The sequence below is a fragment of the Homo sapiens genome, chromosome 8 (assembly GCF_000001405.40).
Source record: "Homo sapiens chromosome 8, GRCh38.p14 Primary Assembly".
Lineage (NCBI taxonomy): Eukaryota > Metazoa > Chordata > Mammalia > Primates > Hominidae > Homo > Homo sapiens.
Genome location: NC_000008.11, coordinates 9716319 through 9734214, shown reverse-complemented (window position 1 = coordinate 9734214; position 17896 = coordinate 9716319). Strand labels below are relative to the sequence as shown.

The 17896-nt window shown below is 35.4% G+C and overlaps 1 protein-coding gene across 3 annotated transcripts in view, besides 2 other annotated features; it reads right to left on the bottom strand.

Moving 5' to 3' along the window:
• Positions 1-17896, bottom strand: part of TNKS (tankyrase) — a 226435-nt gene that overhangs the window by 48132 nt on the left and 160407 nt on the right. For all 3 annotated transcript variants that reach the window (NM_003747.3, XM_011543845.4, XM_011543846.4), the window contains exons 12-15: positions 13670-13841; positions 7495-7574; positions 3180-3325; positions 771-936 (exon numbers count right to left, since the gene is read on the bottom strand). In NM_003747.3, the coding sequence (NP_003738.2) occupies positions 771-936; positions 3180-3325; positions 7495-7574; positions 13670-13841 (564 nt within the window). The remainder of the gene's footprint in view (positions 1-770; positions 937-3179; positions 3326-7494; positions 7575-13669; positions 13842-17896) is intronic.
• Positions 5256-5315: an enhancer, noted in NCBI's record as "active region_26987". NCBI's record gives its function as "activates an Ori minimal core promoter by ATAC-STARR-seq in GM12878 lymphoblastoid cells {active_cell/tissue: GM12878}" and the evidence as "EXISTENCE:reporter gene assay evidence [ECO:0000049][PMID:35858748]".
• Positions 14521-14570: a silencer, noted in NCBI's record as "silent region_18908". NCBI's record gives its function as "represses an Ori minimal core promoter by ATAC-STARR-seq in GM12878 lymphoblastoid cells {active_cell/tissue: GM12878}" and the evidence as "EXISTENCE:reporter gene assay evidence [ECO:0000049][PMID:35858748]".

The window sequence follows — 17896 nt, the reverse complement described above, 5'->3', positions numbered from 1 at the left end:
GGACAATGGATTCACAATGACTTGGAAGTTATTTCTTACCAACCAGTGATAATAAAAATGAGTATCAGATATTGTGTTTTTCTCAAGATTCATAAGAATGTATTTGATATCATAAAAGTGAAGGGAGAAGAATTTTATTTAAACACTTCAATTTTTTTTCCGTAGTTAAAAAAAAGCAAAAGAAAATCTCATAAATACACATCTGGTCGTTTTTTAAAAATATACTTTAAGTGAGCATAAATTATAGTTAGTTTCATATAACTACTAGTTTTCACTCTTTTACATGTATCTAAAATCTATATGAACAACTTTAGAGATCATCTTATGTTTTAATAAAAATCTGATACTACAATAAGTTCTTAAAGACACAATATTTGATGTTTACTAGTGAATGAGTTAGTTAACAATAATAAAATAGCCAACAAAGAAAAAAAACCCAACTTGATTGAAAAGCTTGTTTCTCCTGTACAGTTTTTTCTGATATTAATACTATAAGTACTAGACAAGCAATGCAAACTATTTCAGCTCTTTCTAAAACCTACTTTGATGAATTTTTATGACATGGACTTAAACCATTTCAGATATTCACTTTAGGCACTACGCAAAGCTATGTGTCATATCACATAAACGGTCTTCTGGGAAATAGAAAATGAGAGCAGTCTCTACAGCAGTATTGTTCTTAATAGAATAACATACCCCAACTTACTTTCAAGTAATAACCAAAATATAAATAAAATTAGTTATATTTCATAACTTTTTAAACTACATACTTTTAAAAGGAGCTTGCAGATTTCATACTTTCCTTTAGCTGCTGCTTCATGGAGAGGGGTAAATTTCCATAAGTCCGCCACATTGACAGAAGCCCCATGCCTTACTAAAAGCTCAGCCACCTCATAGTGTCCATATGAACAGGCATTATGAAGGGGCACCAAGCCACTAAACAAAAGAAAGTTATTTTAAAGTCATAAAACAAACCTTTGAGTTACAATGATTCTTATAATAAAAATCCTACCATTCTTCTATGGTACTGACTATACTGAACACTGCGCAAAAAGAAATACACCCACCTCTGTTCTTTAAGATATAGTTATCCATTTCTAAATAAGGAGTAATAATTTCAAAAATGTTCTTTCAATGTAAAGATTTTTTCCTAAGTTTCTTGGGGATGGATATATACTCACAGCAATCCTTATCTTTATGAGTTTCGCTAATGAAAATTGTATGCTTACTTATAAAAAATATAATACAATTAGCTTATTTAGGCAAGTTCTACCTTGGTAAAAAGTTGTGTAAATCATAGTGGTGATTAAATCATAGTGGTTTAATCATAGTGGTGATTCAGTGGTGATTTCCATGCACAGGTGTAAATATTGAGGTGCCAAATATTGAAAATTCATAATCCAGGTAATTCAGAGAAGTATTCAGTAAGAAAAATGACGATGTCAACTATAAGTTCTACTCAGATGAGAAATGGGCAAACTATTCTGAGAGGAGTCTAAGCTCTGATTTGTAAGCAGCTGACATTCTAAAAGGACAAAAAGATGCTCCCACAAAAGAGTACATCAAAAGAATAAAATGTTGAAGTTAACACATGGCAGAAGCAAAGTATCAAGTGCATTTTTTTTTTTTTTTTTTAGTTTTGGGATGAAATATGCTAACTGTTAAAATGAGCAATAGAAGCAAATGCTGATTGCTCTCCAATGCACTGAAACAGTTTGAAATATTCATGTCTGATGTGTCCCTTTTAAAAGATAAATAAATACATAATGGTTCGATGAGGCCTAAATCGTGCAGTTTAATTCTACTGTGCACTTGTATGTAATTACACAGAAAGCTACTGGCTTATTTTGAGATGATGTGAAATTAACTCAGAACACGGGAATTAATATCAGTTAAAATACCTTTCTCACATTTCTAAGTAGCTGCCTTAAGCTTTGCCTAGACAAAATAATTTAGCAAACTAATATAAAACATACAGTATCTGAATTAGTAAAAATAAAACTATGCTTCTAGGAATACTGATGTCTTTGGGATGGATGACTTCTTTTTAGAAGAGACTGTACATTTTTAATAGCAAAAAAGAAGAATAAACAATAACTTACAGACTATATAAAAACATTCATATAGGGCTGGGTGCAGTGGCTCACGCCTGTAATCCCAGCACTTTGGGAGGCCGAGGCGGGTGGATCCATGAGGTCAGGAGATTGAGACCATCCTGGCTAACACAGTGAAACCCCGTCTCTCCTAAAAATACAAAAAATTAGCCGGGCGTGGTGACGGGCGCCTGTAGTCCCAGCTATTCGGGAGGCTGAGGCAGGAGAATGGCGTGAACCTGGGAGGCAGAGCTTGCAGTGAGCCGAGATTGTGCCACTGCACTCCAGCCTGGGCGACAGAGCGAGACTCTGTCTCAAAAACAAAACAAAACAAAATTCATATAATGTAATAAAATACTATATACAAGCATTAAAAGAATGAGACTATTAAGTACTGATATGGGAAGACTATTCAAGATACACTACTGAGTGGAAAAAAGTAAACTGCAAAGCAGACCATATAGGAAGGCACCACCATTTGTGTTAAAAATCACCACCACCACCATCGCCACAGCACACACACAAGTCTATGCATTTACAATATCTGGAGGAATAAGGTCAACATTTGAATGCTGTATCTCTGAGCAGGAGGTGGGCTGACAGGAAATTTTCAATTTCTATACTGTACATTTCTATGTTTTTTTTTTTTTTTTTTTTTTTTGAGATGGAATTTCGCTCTTGTTGCCCAAGCTGGAGTGCAATGCTGAGATCTTAGCTCACTGCAACCTCCACCTCCCGGGTTCAAGTGATTCTCCTGCCTCAGCCTCCCAAGTAGCTGGGATTACAGGCATGTGCCACCACGCCTGGCTAATTTTGTATTTTTAATAGAGACAGAGTTTCACCCATGTTGGTCAGGCTGGTCTCAAACTCCTGATCTCAGGTGATCTGCCCGCCTTCGCCTCCCAAAGTGCTGGGATTACAGGCGTGAGCCACCATGCCTGGCACATTTCTATGTTTTAATTTATGTTTTAAACAAAAAATAACGATTACTTTTTTAATACAGAAAAAATCTAAGACTTCAAAAATATTTTAAATTTTTTAAGCATGAAGAGAATGACTCCCAAACAGCTAACTTCTAACACGTACCCCTTGTCTTTGGCATGGACATCGGCACCGTGGTGTAGCAGGTACTCTACAACAGACACGCGGTTGTAGCCTGCTGCGAAGTGTAAGGGCGTGGAATGCCGGCCCTCTAAGTCTCTACAATTCACATTTTGAGAGCTGCAAAGTTGCTTTCGTGGTGCACACACAAAGACAAACACAAAACGAACATTACTCTTTATTCACAGGTTTTGCCCCAAAATAGTTCAACATCTTGGATAAGTAAATTATAATTGTCTAATGAATATTTATTTCCAAAGATTAGACAATACAAATGTTTAGAAATCAGCACTATGCCTTTCAGTGACGACAAATATTTTTTATTATGTACAGAGCAAATTAATGTTTTTCAACATTTCCCAACCAAAATCGGAATCAAATAGAAAAACCCACAATAAAGCAAGCATTTCCAAAGCAAATAATGCCTTGCTGTTTTATCTTTGTAAGTCTTTCCTCCCTGAGATATGCTCTACTGTTTGTCATAGCGTATCTGCTTGTGCCAACACCAACCTCAGTTGACTGTGTAACTAGAGAGCTCTTGCCGTCTCTAATGTGAGTCAAGCAAGCAAAAAGGGTCTGGAGAATTATTTTTCTGCCTGGGCCACTCCCTGGGTCTTTTGATTGACTGTAGCAAAGCTATGTCGTCAACAGTGCTTTACTTGCCTTTTGGGGCAACGTTTGCTTACCTTTACAAGTTAAACTGGTTTTTAATCATACCCTAGTTTTTAGGCTTTACTTCCATCTCTTTCAGAGATGTCCTCCAAATCTCTTCTATGTCTCCTTATCTCTCCCTGAATGCTTCAATTTCAGCACAATCTAAATTGTAAGCTCCGTTTGTTTACAAAGCAGCAGGATGCCATGGAAGGAATGAAAGACTGTATCACTGGTGGTAATAAGTGAGTAATGATAATATCTGAATAATAATTTACAGTTTATAAAGAATATTGGCCAGGTGCGTTGGCTCACGCCTGCAATCCCAGCACTTTGGGAGGCCAAGGCAGGCAGATCACGAGGTCAAGAGATCGAGACCATCCTGGCCAACATAGTGAAACCTCATCTCTACTAAAAATACAAAAATTAGCTGGGCATGGTGGCGCGTGCCTGTAGTCCCAGCTACTCGCTGGGAGGCTGAGGCAGGAGAATTGCTTGAACCCAGGAGGCAGAGGTTGCAGTGAGCCGAAATCACGCTACTGCACTTTAGTCTGGTGACAGAGTGAGACCCCATCTCAAAAAAAAAAAAAAAAAAAAAGAATATCATATTCTTTCAGTGAGGAAATTATTATATGTCTAAGAAGTTGATAGATAACAAACCAGGGATGGAGATTAATTTATAAATTAACTTTACAGATAAATAAATCAGGGATGAAGGTTAAGTGAGTTATCCTTGTCAAACAGTTGGTAAGGGGTAGAATAAAGACTCAAACCCTGCTTTACTGATTTTTAACCTCTTAGTCTTTCTGCTACATCATGCATCATCGCTTACTTTCCTAATTATCCAACTTGAGGGAAGTGATCAGAAGAAAGGCAATGAAAAACAGAAAAAGCAAATGAAGCAGAGCAGACAATAGCATGCTCTAGGCTATAAAGGACGATTGCAGGGTCCCTGGGGATTTTCAGGTATTCACTAATTTTGCTGCCACTTCCGTCACAGTAATAAGCTATTATTACATAAAAATTAAGAACCTGAAAAATTTCTACTGATAGAGGAAGTAGGAGTGCTACGGGTTGAATGTTTGTGTCCTTCTGGAATTCATGTTGAAACTTAATCTCCAATGCAATAGTGTTAAGGAGGTGACTGGGTCATGCGGACTCTTCCCTCCTGAATGTGGGCTTAAGGCCTTTCTAAAAGAGGCTTCACACAGCATTTGGCCGTTTTGCCCTTCCGCCTTCTGCCAAGTGAGGATACAGCATTTGTCCCCTCCAGAAGAGGCAGCAACAAGACACCACCTTGAAGGCAGAGAGACGGGGTCCCCACCAGACACTAAGCCTACGAGTACCTGGATCTTGGACTTCCTAGCCTCCAGAACTGAGAGAAATAAATTTCTATTGCTTAGAAATTGCCCAGTCTATGGTATTTTTTTATAGCAGCACAAATAGACTAAGACAAGAAGCTTTCACACAGGTAGGATAAAAACAAGCGCTTTTTAAGTGGTGTAATTTTCACATGACAGGAAGGAGTCTGGGCAGTAAAGGCGAGTTCACAGTTTCATCAACTCTATACGGAAATGCACCAGCCTCTAAAATCTGAAGAGCCATTGTAATGTGACCAGGTCAAATATCTTTTCATGACAAATGAGTCTGTGGCTATATTAATATATAAACAGCATAATTGACAAATCAAATTAAATAAAAAATGAATAAATACATAAATCAAAAAGAAAAGATGCAAAAATTGATAATAAACACCCTCTAAGGAGTCTGACATGATTGAAGCTTCTTCCTAATGCTGCTTTCCCCCACTGGTTCTTACATTCTAAATTAACTCTATTATTATTCTATTTGTCAGAATACTGACAAAATAGGAATAGGTAGGGAATGAAACACAACTCATTTTGTGAGGCTACAGAAATAGAAGCCCATCCTGCTTATTAAATATTTGATTTTTAAGATTTAGAAATTCTTTATTCTGTTTCAGTTTTCTTTCGAATGGCAAAGCAATTTCACATCCTTCCTACTTACTTTTCACAATTTCAAATGCTTTATTCAGCAGGCAGCCTTTTCTTCTAAAACCTCAGTTCTACTACTTTCTAAAGTCTCTTGGGGAAGAAATTTACCAGGCCTAATTCTCACTCAATTTGTGCTGCTTTGTTTTCTTTTGCTACTTCCATTCCACAGATCAAAATAAATTAGGCCTTCACTGTGAATGGATTGTTTAAGAAACCTAAAAGCTGTAGTATACATCTGCTTATCATATACAAAACACATGGAATTTAAAACTGTATGCTTTAAAAATAAAGTATGTATTAATTATAATAAGCACATATAGCAATTCAAGCACTGAGATGATCATGCTCTGAAAGGAAGCCTAATCGTCTTATATTTAAGAATTTTCTTTTATTAGAATACATTTCAAGTGATGAAGCATTTTTAAGAAAAAATGTACAGTTTTAGATTTAAGACAACATAAAAATTTCTCCCTAGTGGCTATCACAACTAAAATTTACTATTATTCTTTAAATAACTTAGATGCTATCGTAAGTTGGATGTGATCCTGGAAGTGCCCACATATTAAAACAAAAATAAAATTTCTAGGCAACAGAGCTTAAAACGTGTTTACCGTCACTTTCAACCAGTATATGTTATCAAGAATGCTAAAATTAGTTTGCTAAAAATCGCAAAAAGTTTGCTTAAGAAGAGGTGACAAAGTTGACAGTATGTCGTAAAAAGTACTGAGTGTCAATAGCAAATTTGCTATTAACTTTTCGATAAAAATAATAAAGGCAAAGCTGGGTGCAGTGGTGCACACCTGTAGTCTCAGCTACTTGGATAGTAGGCAGGGTAAGGCAAGAGGATTGCTTGAGCCCCAGGAGTTTGAGGCCTGCCTGGGCAATACAGCAAGACCTTGTCTCGTAAAAAACAACAAAAAACAAACCCCAAAAGACCAATCTCCAAACAAAAAACTTTTGCTAACTTCATCCCTAAGTGAATGATTATAGATGGGAAATGTGTGTTTTAAAAAAGCATACTTAGTATTAGAATATGACTATATTTGAAAAAAAATAAAACTACAACCATTGTTTCTATACCACAAATACAGACTGATAAAATTTTTGAAGCAAGTAGAGCTACACAGGGAAAAAATCTATCTTCTGCATATGAATAATTCCACTGTTGAGGGATCACAGGAATGCTTTCCTAGAATAAATGTGTGAACCTCTGAGAAAAGATCAAGAAATATTCTTTCAAATGTCATCCTGCTAATGTCTGGGCTCGATCTAGTTTATACATTTTGTGAATGCAGCCAAAAATAGTAACACTGTAATTAATATAAGTGAAATTAAAAGAGCTTTCATGTAACCTGAAGAAAAATTACTAAAAACCATGTATATGTGTGTGTGTGTATGTATATATCCATCTGTCTATCTACCTATATACATACACACACATATATATACAAATGGTTTCATAAATACAAGGCACATACTGGGAATTCCTTAATAGTAGTACAGATTTTTCCTGCCCATGACTCTGTTCATCCTTTTTACTGTTTGTATTTGAGTAGATATACTTAGAAGCTTAAAAATGAATTGGTTAGCAAAGTTCAACAGTGCTATTCCAGATATTAAGGGCACTGACTTACCTTCACAGTTTCCAAGTCTCCAGCTTTAGATGCCTCTAAGAGTCGATAATCAACATCAGAAGTACGTATAGGTGTACTCTCTGCATAAAAGGAAGGAAAGAACTCATATATATATCCAAACTCATATATTCCAACTGCATTGATTTTGGAAACAAAAATGGTTCTTGAGGGATTGCAAAGTAGTTCAGGAGGAAAAATTATTTAGTTTGGTTTTACTAAATGTTGTAGCAAAACTTTGCCATAGATTTGTTATACAAACCTAGGGAAGCCACACAACTTTCAGTACTTAATGTTTACTTTTTTTATGTATGTACATATGTATGTATTTATTTTTTGAGACAGTTGCTCTGTCACCAAGGCTGCAGTGCAGTGGCGTGATCACAGTTCACTGTAGCCTCAACCTTCCAGGATCAAGCAATCCTCCCCACCTCAGCCCCAAGTAGCTGAGACCACACGTGTACACCACCACGCCCAGCTAGTTTTTGTATATTTTGTGGAGATGGGTTTTCACCATGTTGCCCAGGCTGGTCACAAACTCCTGGGCTCAAGTGATCCTCCTGCTTCAGCCTCCCAAAGTGCTGGGATTACAGATGTGAGCCACTGCGCCCAGCCTTGATTTTTCTTTTAGTCTCAATGTACTACTTTTAAAATCAGAATCATCTTGTGAAGTATAATCAGTGAACAGAAAAGGGCTACTAAATACAGACATTTGTTTAATTCACATTTATTGAATGGCTTTAGGAAAATGCAACTTTCAATGTTTGTATAATTGGAGGTATGATAGCAATGCGAAACAGAATATAATTAAATTGGGCTGTTAGGTCTAGAGGCTAACAAATGAGTTATTATTTTGATTAATCCAATGTAAATAAACTGAAAATTCATTTCACATTGACCCAAATAAAATAAGTTTTTAAAGAAAACAATTTATAATATGTCAACCAAAAGTATGTTTATGTACATGAAGTGTGGCTTTTAGAATGAGCACACATTATGTTAACACAAAAGGATGGATCTCCAGGAGGCCTACATTTTAGACTGGGCTCTATAATCTACAACTTTGGACAACTCATGTAACAGTTTAGTTTTTGCCCTTATAAAGTGAGTGCTGAAAATCTTTCAGATCTAAGATTGTATTATCTTATGATCAGAGACATCTTTTTTGAGCCCAATGTCCAAGTGGGAGGATCAAGTGATGCTATGAAGAGGTTGTAGATTTCAGGAGAGAGTGGCTTTTACAGAATAAGTTATGACAATTCTTCAGTAAAAGATAAACTACTTATTTGATCATAATAGCAGGTAAAATGCTGAGATTAAGGGAGGAAAAAAGAGAGTGTTTCATATAACAAAGTAAATCTTTGAATTATTATTCTTAAGAGTTATATTACATTTTAATTTGTGGAAATGTTGAGGAAAGGAACCAGATCTTGCTCATCTTTATATTCCTTTTCACACAGAGAGCATTCCAAAAGCATTTCCTGGATGGATTTCCACTATGTATTGGGGTCAATGAGTCTATCAAATCTTAGCTCTTTTTTTGGCTGCTCTTATTCTGTTCTTTCATTGTCTCATTAGTCTCCATTATAAGTGTGCACATACACTACCGCATTTATAGGTAAGATGCTGTGTGTATATTATGTCTCTATGACAGTGATTCTGGATTTGACAAAATTCACTGATATATCCTTTCAATATCTACAGGTAATATTTTTAGTTTTTCATTTCAACAAAATAAAGAGACAATTGTTTATGTATATAGAGTTATAACTGAGTATTTTTCGATGACAGCACTTTAAGGATACATTTAATATGGCAAAATTTTTGAAATCTAAGAACTATTTGAAATTGGAACACATATCTTGATGCGGACTGTCTACTAAAGAGTATAATTTTCCAATCAAGCAAAAAGTCTTAAGCAAATATAAGAATGCTTCTGGAACTATGAGAAAAGAATTATTAGTCCTGGTTAAAGAGGAGAAAGTAAAGATGTTTAAAATATTGGTTAATTACTATCCAGATTGTAGAGACCTGCACCTATTACATATCTTGAATAAGGCCTAGGATAGACTTGTTTTTAGAAATAATGCGAAAAATGTATTAGCTGAAATGACTTACATACAGCCCAGGAACTTTGTATAAAGTGATGCACAATTAAAAGAGATATAAAAAATGAAATTAAAAAAGGAACATGAGTGAAAGAGTAGCTTGTATGCAAAGTACTATATTAGTAAAATTCTTTGTAAGTATGCTAGGTTTGTATAACATGAAATTTATTTATTTGTTTAGTTCTTTCTTTTTAGAGATGGGGTCTCACTATGTTGCCCTGGCTGGTCTTGAAATCCTGGGCTCAAGTGATCCTCTTGTCTTAGCCTCCTGAGTAGTTGGGACCATAGGCATGCACCACCATACCCGGCTAATTTTTAAAAATTTTTAAGTAGAGACGGGGTTTCGCCATGTTGCCCAAGCTGGGCTTGAACTCCTGAGCTCAAGCAATCCTCCCACCGTTGCCTCCCAAAGTGCAGGGATTATAGGCGTGAGCAACCACACTCAGCCTGTAGAACATGAAATTATAGTCACCTAGAATCAAAGATTAAAGATGGGCTTCTTATTTTGTCTCCAATCTTTTTCTGGCTCATTAGAGTTTTTAAAAAGTTAGAAACGCTAGGAAGCAGCCTATTTTTAAAAACATCTTTTATAGACTTAGTAGTTTGATCAATATTAGACTACTGGACTGGCAACAGGTCTTAATGGCTTATTTCAATGTGCCACTGTAAATGGGGTTTCAATGTTTAATTTAGGTATCATAAGCCTAATCTTTACCTGTGTAGATGAAAGTAATGCTTATCCCACACTGGGTTATACAATCGCAAGAATTCAGGTCAAGATCGAACTTAAAAGAAATGGCCAAAAGAACTGTCTGTGGTGCTAGAAATAGTGTTATTTGTGCTATTATGCTAGCCATTAGCCACGTGTGACTACGGAATACCTGAAATGTGGCTAGTGTAACTAATGGAAAGATTTTCCATTTTATTTAATTTTAATTAGTTTAAATGTAGCCAGATGTAGCTAGTGGCTACCATATTGGAAAGAGCAAGTCTAGAGAAAGAAATCAAATCTTTGGAAATAATGTTTTAAAGTGCTAATTCATAAAAAGCTGCTTCTCTTGTTTTCTTTACATTGATGTTAGTTTTGACACAAATATTGCCAGCAGTTTATAATGAAAACTTTATTAATGTAAACTTCTGGCAACTACAGACTTGAGAGTTGAAAGTGCAGGTTTCTAAAGTAGATCTCAAACCCGTATTAACAAGTGTATTTAAATGAATCTTATAAAATGTTATCCAGAACAAAACAAATTACTATACATCTTATTTGACTGATATTAATATATTCTTTCAAAAGTCATTATAGATATAACCTGATATTGGGTTAATAAATAACTAAAAAGTTCAGCTAATGCATGGTCCATAGTCTACAGAGACATACAAATTCCTGGTAAAAATAGTAGTTTAAAAACTCATATCCTATTTCAAATAAGAAACAATTCCCATTACAAAAAAAAAAAACCTTTTGGAGGGCAAAATTTTCCTATATATATTTTTTATTTGTATTAGCTTTCCAGATCAATAAAGAATTAAACTAAAAAGTTCTGCATGTTCTAAATTAAGCATTTAATTACCTATATAATGTCTTATTTCAAAAATCAATTTTAAAGGAGATTTATCAAAATAATCGAAGAAAAATATTTCATTTGTATTCAGTATTTAGTTTTATCTTTTGCCAGAACTCATATATTCTAACTGCATTCAGTAAGAAGACATTTTAAAAGTATTATATGGATCTGATATGCTTGATTTATTCAATACTTTCTTCTCCATTTTGTTAATTATCTCTAAAAGCTATGCACATAATTTGAGGCAAAGCTATGTGTTTGCCTGACTTATGGTTAAAACATACAGAAACTAACTTAAAATTCGGTACTAAATGATTCTCAGTAAAATGAGAAAATTTAGAAATTTTAACAAAAATCACAACTTTTAGAAATCATTAGAATTTACTGAGAGGGAAGAAATATTTCCTAGGCAAGGAGTAATATCTCCTTTAAGCAAATGTTCTATCACTCCATAAAAACAGGAAGTCAAAGTCTTTTTTTTTTTTTTTTTTTTGAGTTCAAGCTTGAAATTTATATAGAAAATTTCATTTGTTCAGCTGGATCTTACTCATGTTGATAGTGAAGACATGCTAGATAGATTTCCTTCTAAATCTTCCCGTCTCAAGATCACCATTAAGGCTGAAGTAGAATGATCACTATCTACGAATGACCTAGCATGAGGAAAATAAATCCTCATCAATAGTTTTCACAATGTTGCACAATTAGTTTTATTATGCTATTTAGCTCTGATCTTCCTATAACAATATACACATATCATAATCTCTACAAGCCCTAGAAGGGTCCCTGTTGCATCATATAGCAGTGATTCTCAACTTGGCTGTATTTCTTGGGGTCCCTTTAGAAATCTGTGGGGTCATGTTTTGTCTTCTAATATAGTTGTGTCCAATCTATTTACATAAGAACTATAAATTATTTTATTGTAACTTACTGCTATTTTCCCTTTATATTATAGTTAGGGCATTTTTTTCTTTTCTTTTCTTTTTTTTTTGTTGAGATGGAGTCTCGCTCTGTCACCCAGGCTGGATGGAGTGCAGTGGCGCGATCTTGGCTCACTGCAACCTCCGTCTCCTAGGTTCCAGTGATTCTCCTGCCTCAGGCTCCCGAGTAGCTGGAATTACAGGCACGCACCACCACACCCGGCTAATTTTTTAACATTTAGTAGAGATGGGGGTTTCACCATGTTGGCCAAGGTGGTCTGGAACTCCTGACCTCGTGATCCGCCCACCTCGGCCTCCCAAAGTGCTGGGATTACAGGCGTCAGCCACCATGCCCGATCTAGTTAGGGCGTTTTATATAGATTTTTGGAAAGGTACCTATACAGTTAGGTCATATTATCTATGAATTTCACTTCTGAAATGTCATAAGGATATGTCATAAGACATTCTTTATAAAAAGCGGGCACTGTACCTGATAGAGTTAAGAACTACCAGACTGTAGGTAGAAAAAAGTAACCAGGACTTCTGACTCCTAGTCTATAGCCTTCTACATTTTACTCTTCTGGTTTGTCATTTCATTCCATAGCAGATATAATCCACAGACAAAATTAAAAGGTTAGGAAAGAGGTTAATTATACTAAACTTTTGATTCTAGTTCATTTTGTCAGTAGGTAGACTGCATTACTTCCTCTAGTTTTGGGACTTAGGAAGCCAGTATCTATTTTCTTATCAATTTATATTTAAAATATCTAACACTATACCAGGCAGACAATGAAACATTCAGCAAAATTTTATAATTTTATATATATATATAATTTATTTATTTATTTTTGAGACAGAGTTTCACTCTGTCTCCAGGCTGGAGTGCAGTGGCGTGATCTCGGCTCACTGCAACCTCCGCCTCCCGCGTTCAAGCAATTCTCCTTGCCTCAGCCTCCCAAGTAGCTGGGGCTACAAGGCATGCGCCACTCCGCCCAGCTAATTTTTGTATTTTTAATAGAGACAGGGTTTCACCATGTTGGCCAAGATGGTCTCGATCTCCTGTCCTCGTGATCTGCCTGCCTCGGCATCCCAAAGTATTGGGATTACAGGAGTGAGCCACTGTGCCCGGCCTATAATTATATTTAAGCCAGAAAAAGACAAGATAATTTTATAATAATGCAATGAAGTTAAGAATTTTAAAAGTATGTCAGAATTTTACACAGGTAGGAACAATTAATTAAATGTCATTACCATATGAATGATTTATAATTTTCTCTATTTGATAGATTTTATAGCTACCATAATTCCACACTGTTTATATGAGTTTTAAGTCACCTTTGATCAGAACACTCATGAGTCAGGTTTTCAATTTAAACCTAAAAAAACTAAAAGCTGTATCTGCTTCCTTCCCATGACACCTACCTTACCCTACCAAAAAAGGGAGATGGGGAAGTCCACAGGCTAAATTGCAAGAAAAGACATGAGAAAAACTTCAGGCAAAGTAAACACTGCAAAGTTTGTCTGTGTATTTCAGCAGGGATGGAAGAGAAAACATAAAATGCCCTGTTGGTCTATTTTAACTCACCACTCAGAATCTGCTGCACTGCTTCATTGCCCATCTGTGCTGCTGTGAAGCCTTGTAAGGAGATGATGGAGGGGTCAGAGCCGTAACTCAGCAGGAGGCGGCAGGTCTGCAGGTGACCTGCTAGGGCGGCTCTATGCAAAGCAGTCTGACCAAGGGTGTCCAGTGCATTCATCTGAAAAATCATTGCGTGGGCACATGGAATTGAGCATCTTGTTTAGTTTCCTTTTATACCTTAGAAAATACATTCTTATGAAAAAAAAATCAACTTTCAAAGCTTTTAAAAAGTCTCATAGATATTGATTATAAACTTTTGCTCACTGATTCTGAAGAACTATCTTCTTTTTAGTTACCCTTCTCTGATCACCTTACTGAAAATTACAACATACCCTTTCTTCCCGGAATGACCATTTTCCTGACCATTTCCCATTTCTGCTACTCCCTTCGACGACTAGACTGGTCTATGGAGGCAGCAACTCTGGTCTGGTATTTACTGCTTGCCACAATGAGGATGCTCACCAAATTCTTCTGAATGAATGGATTTTTACCAAACTTTTCCCCAGAATATAAAGACAACAGCATATGTAAGCAAAGACTGTCAAAGTAGTTGATTATATTTCTTTTCTAATTTAGGTAATATAGCTAATTATAATATCTTAATTGAATTACAAGCATATTTAAGCAAAAAAAAGATTTGAGGATTCAAACATTCCTTTTTAAAGCTTTGAAGAGTTATTATACACAGGAAGAAGAATCATTTAGCTAGTTGTGAGACTGCTTAAGACAATGTGAAACACTGGCATCATGTTCTTAATCTGGTCAAACCTGACTCATCTTATCTTCCAGCAGATCCCAATCAGCACCCTCTACTCCAGTCAGACCCAAGTCCACGTTCATTGTGCTTGCTGCTCTTTTCAGAGAAACCCTTCTTTCTGCCTTTATGGCTCCTGAGATCCAGTGTAGATAAGTCTCCTCATCTCCAAGAAGTCTTCCTTGATTTCTTGAAGACTTTGATTACTCCTTTTCTGAACATCTATGTCAATTTAGCACTTTACTGTCTTATAAAATATAATACTGGGGTAATTTTTGTTTATTGAGTTAAACTAAGGTTATTGAGAATATGAGTGCATGTTACACACAGACTTTCTGGGTCCTCTAGAAAGCTCCTGCTAAAGGTACACAGTAAATTCTCAATTATATGCTGGTTGATTATTGAAAATATTTGTGTACACCCACTAAATACAAGATTAAGAAAAGAAAGGATAAAAGACAACTAGTCTCCCTGTCGCCAGTCTTTTATCATTACCAGTAAGGCTGTTGTACTTACTCAGGAAAGGGTTCATACAAATTCTTGATGGTCTTTCACAAAACTCCCATGAAATAGTAACATATTTAACTCTATCACATTTGCCAGAAGAAAAATGACTGCTGATACATACCAACAAAAAAGCACAGCCATTAGCATGTATCAATGGATAACACAAGCTACCAAACTAACTTGAATTTTGATTTCTTTGTTACTTCTTCAGCACAAAAGAAAAATCTAAAATTGTGAACATTCTAATCATTAACATTTTTCTGGAAACTGGGTAAGAAACATACTAACTTATTCTATTATAGTAATGGGAACTCCCAATCCAACTTATTGAAGCATGGGAACATGATTTGATGTCACTAAAAAATACTTAACATTCAGCACTAAAGTGATTATTTTCACCAGGTTACAGAAACTGTCTCAAATAAAGAGACTCCTACATTTAATGTTACCCCTCAACTGTGGTAATTAAATGCTTAAGACTGGCTTGACCTATCCATTCAGGAGTCAGAATAATAGATGTCTGGCAGTTTTAGAGGTAAAACATATTCCCACTTTTCCTTGTATCTAGAGATTGCAACCTTAGTGTACGTATTTTCATTTCTAACTGAGCAGCAAAAATGACTTTACAGAAGATGAATAACTCAGTAAAACTATATAAAATCACAATGACACTTGGCCCGAAATATTTAGGACATGAAATTATGATTCAAAAAATGCCAAAACAGTTCTGGAAACCGGCAAGCAGACCACAAAGAAATGGCTGAGGGGAATCCTTCAATATTCTACTCAGTGTGAACAGCCTAGTCTCAGACAGCTAATCCTGAGGCCACTTCTCCTAAACTTAAAGCTATCATTGTCTACATCACTCATTTGGTAATTAATCACAAACTGTTCTGTGACATCCGTACTTAACACCTTTAACTGTGAACATGTGTTTGCCTCAACCTAAAAGCTGATTTCAAGTAAGCCGAGAGTTGAAAACAGTCTGTACTCTTTAGCTAGAGTGACACTGCATTTTTTTTCTCAAACCACAACAAATTGAAAGTCAACAATTAAAAAAATTAACAGGCATTAATATATCTATGATAGAAGAACAAATGATAGGTTCTCCAAGTATTATGAGAACAAAGTTTAAACTCTCCAATTGACAATACAAAGATCTTGCTTTTCATTGTTTCCATTTTCTGTACCTTTTGGACTAACTAATAACTTCTGACAGTTTAACAAACAAACCCCTTTACTTCCCTGATTTTCAGTCCTTACTGAAAATGTATTGTTTGTATTTTGCCTGTATATATCTATATATTTGATTCCTGAACATTCCTAGCTGAAATTCTATTTTCTTCATGAGATTTCTCCAATCTCTTCCCCAGGCTGCCACCACCAACAGAAATAACTGTTTATTCCTCTGAATATAAATCAATCTATACTTCTCTTATTATATATACTACTTTCCAGTTCATATAGTAGTCAAGTAGACTGTGTTAGACAATTAGATTTTAAGTTCCTTAAGAGAAGGATCTTGATCAAATTCAAACTTTATACATCCTCTCAGCAGTAAGTACCATGCCTTGTATAAACAGATATTTGAAAATGGTTGGTAAGTGAATGCCTCACAAGAGCAACAAACTAATAAATTCTGGTGATAAAAAATACTACTTTTGACATACTGTTCTGTATATTGAACAAACATTAGGAACTACTAAAATGTTCGCTATCTAACCAAAATGCATTCCTCTTTCCCTGGAAATTGAGGGAGAAGGGTAAATGCCAGTGTTTATAGAATTGCTTAATATTGAAAATGAATTTGCTTTATCTGTAATCAAAATATAATTTAAATTGATTCTAATGTTTTTACAGGTGTTTTACAAGTATTCATCATTATCCTTGGTGGTATGCATAGTTAAAGCACTTCCTATGAGGAATGAAAGAGACAAATGAACACAATTTTTCAATACAATACTGACATAGTAATCAATATTTTACTTGAAATGTTTTTTAATCCTTTAATGTGTTGTGAACTCACTACAGAGTACGGAACTGGATTTCTATTTGCTAGCTGAACTTGAGTGTGCTATCTGTAAAGATTCCTGTGGAAATTTAAAAGAAACAATCAAATTCCCTGAAAATATATATATATATATATATATATATATATTATAATACAACAGATTATCTTTGGTGGTTTCAAGGGGTACTAATCTTGCTCACGTGCCTTAAGAAATAACAAACTGAGCAAAAGTGATTATAGACTAGAGGGTGCCAATCCAATGAATGCTCGTACTCAACAAGCGACTCTTATTTATAATTCTCCCTTTTTCATCCCAGAGACGGGACAGACCCTATCAGCTGCAGGTGGTATACTTCTAAGCCAAGGACACATAAAGTATGGGTTGTAAAAGACCACATTTAGGCCATAGAGAAATAATACAGAAAAATCCAGTCTGCAGAAAGAAGAATGAACCAGATGAACAAACACTGGCAGAGAAAAGAAACCTCAGAGAAAGAGAAAGAGAGAGAAAGACAGGGAGCGACGGAGACACAGAAGAGGGGAAAGAGGGAAGCAGGGAGGCAGAGACATAGAGAACGGCAGCCAAAGTACCTGATAGTTTCTAAATTCCTTGTTCTGGTCTTTTGTGAATCTCAGCTACAATTCTTACACATATTTCTGGGAGATAACCATACGGGTTTCTCACAGAAGTAATAAACACATTTGCATTAATATACATTTATATTAGTATAAAATATATTTCCATTTGTGTTTAATCTAGATTGAGTTGGTTTGTTACTGAGAACTAAAATGTCTCTGGGACACTTGCCCCTTTGGACTTTATTTTGGTATGATCAAACCTCAGATATTATTTACACTGTAAAAGATACTTTAGAGCTATAGTATCTTTAAAAGTACTTTA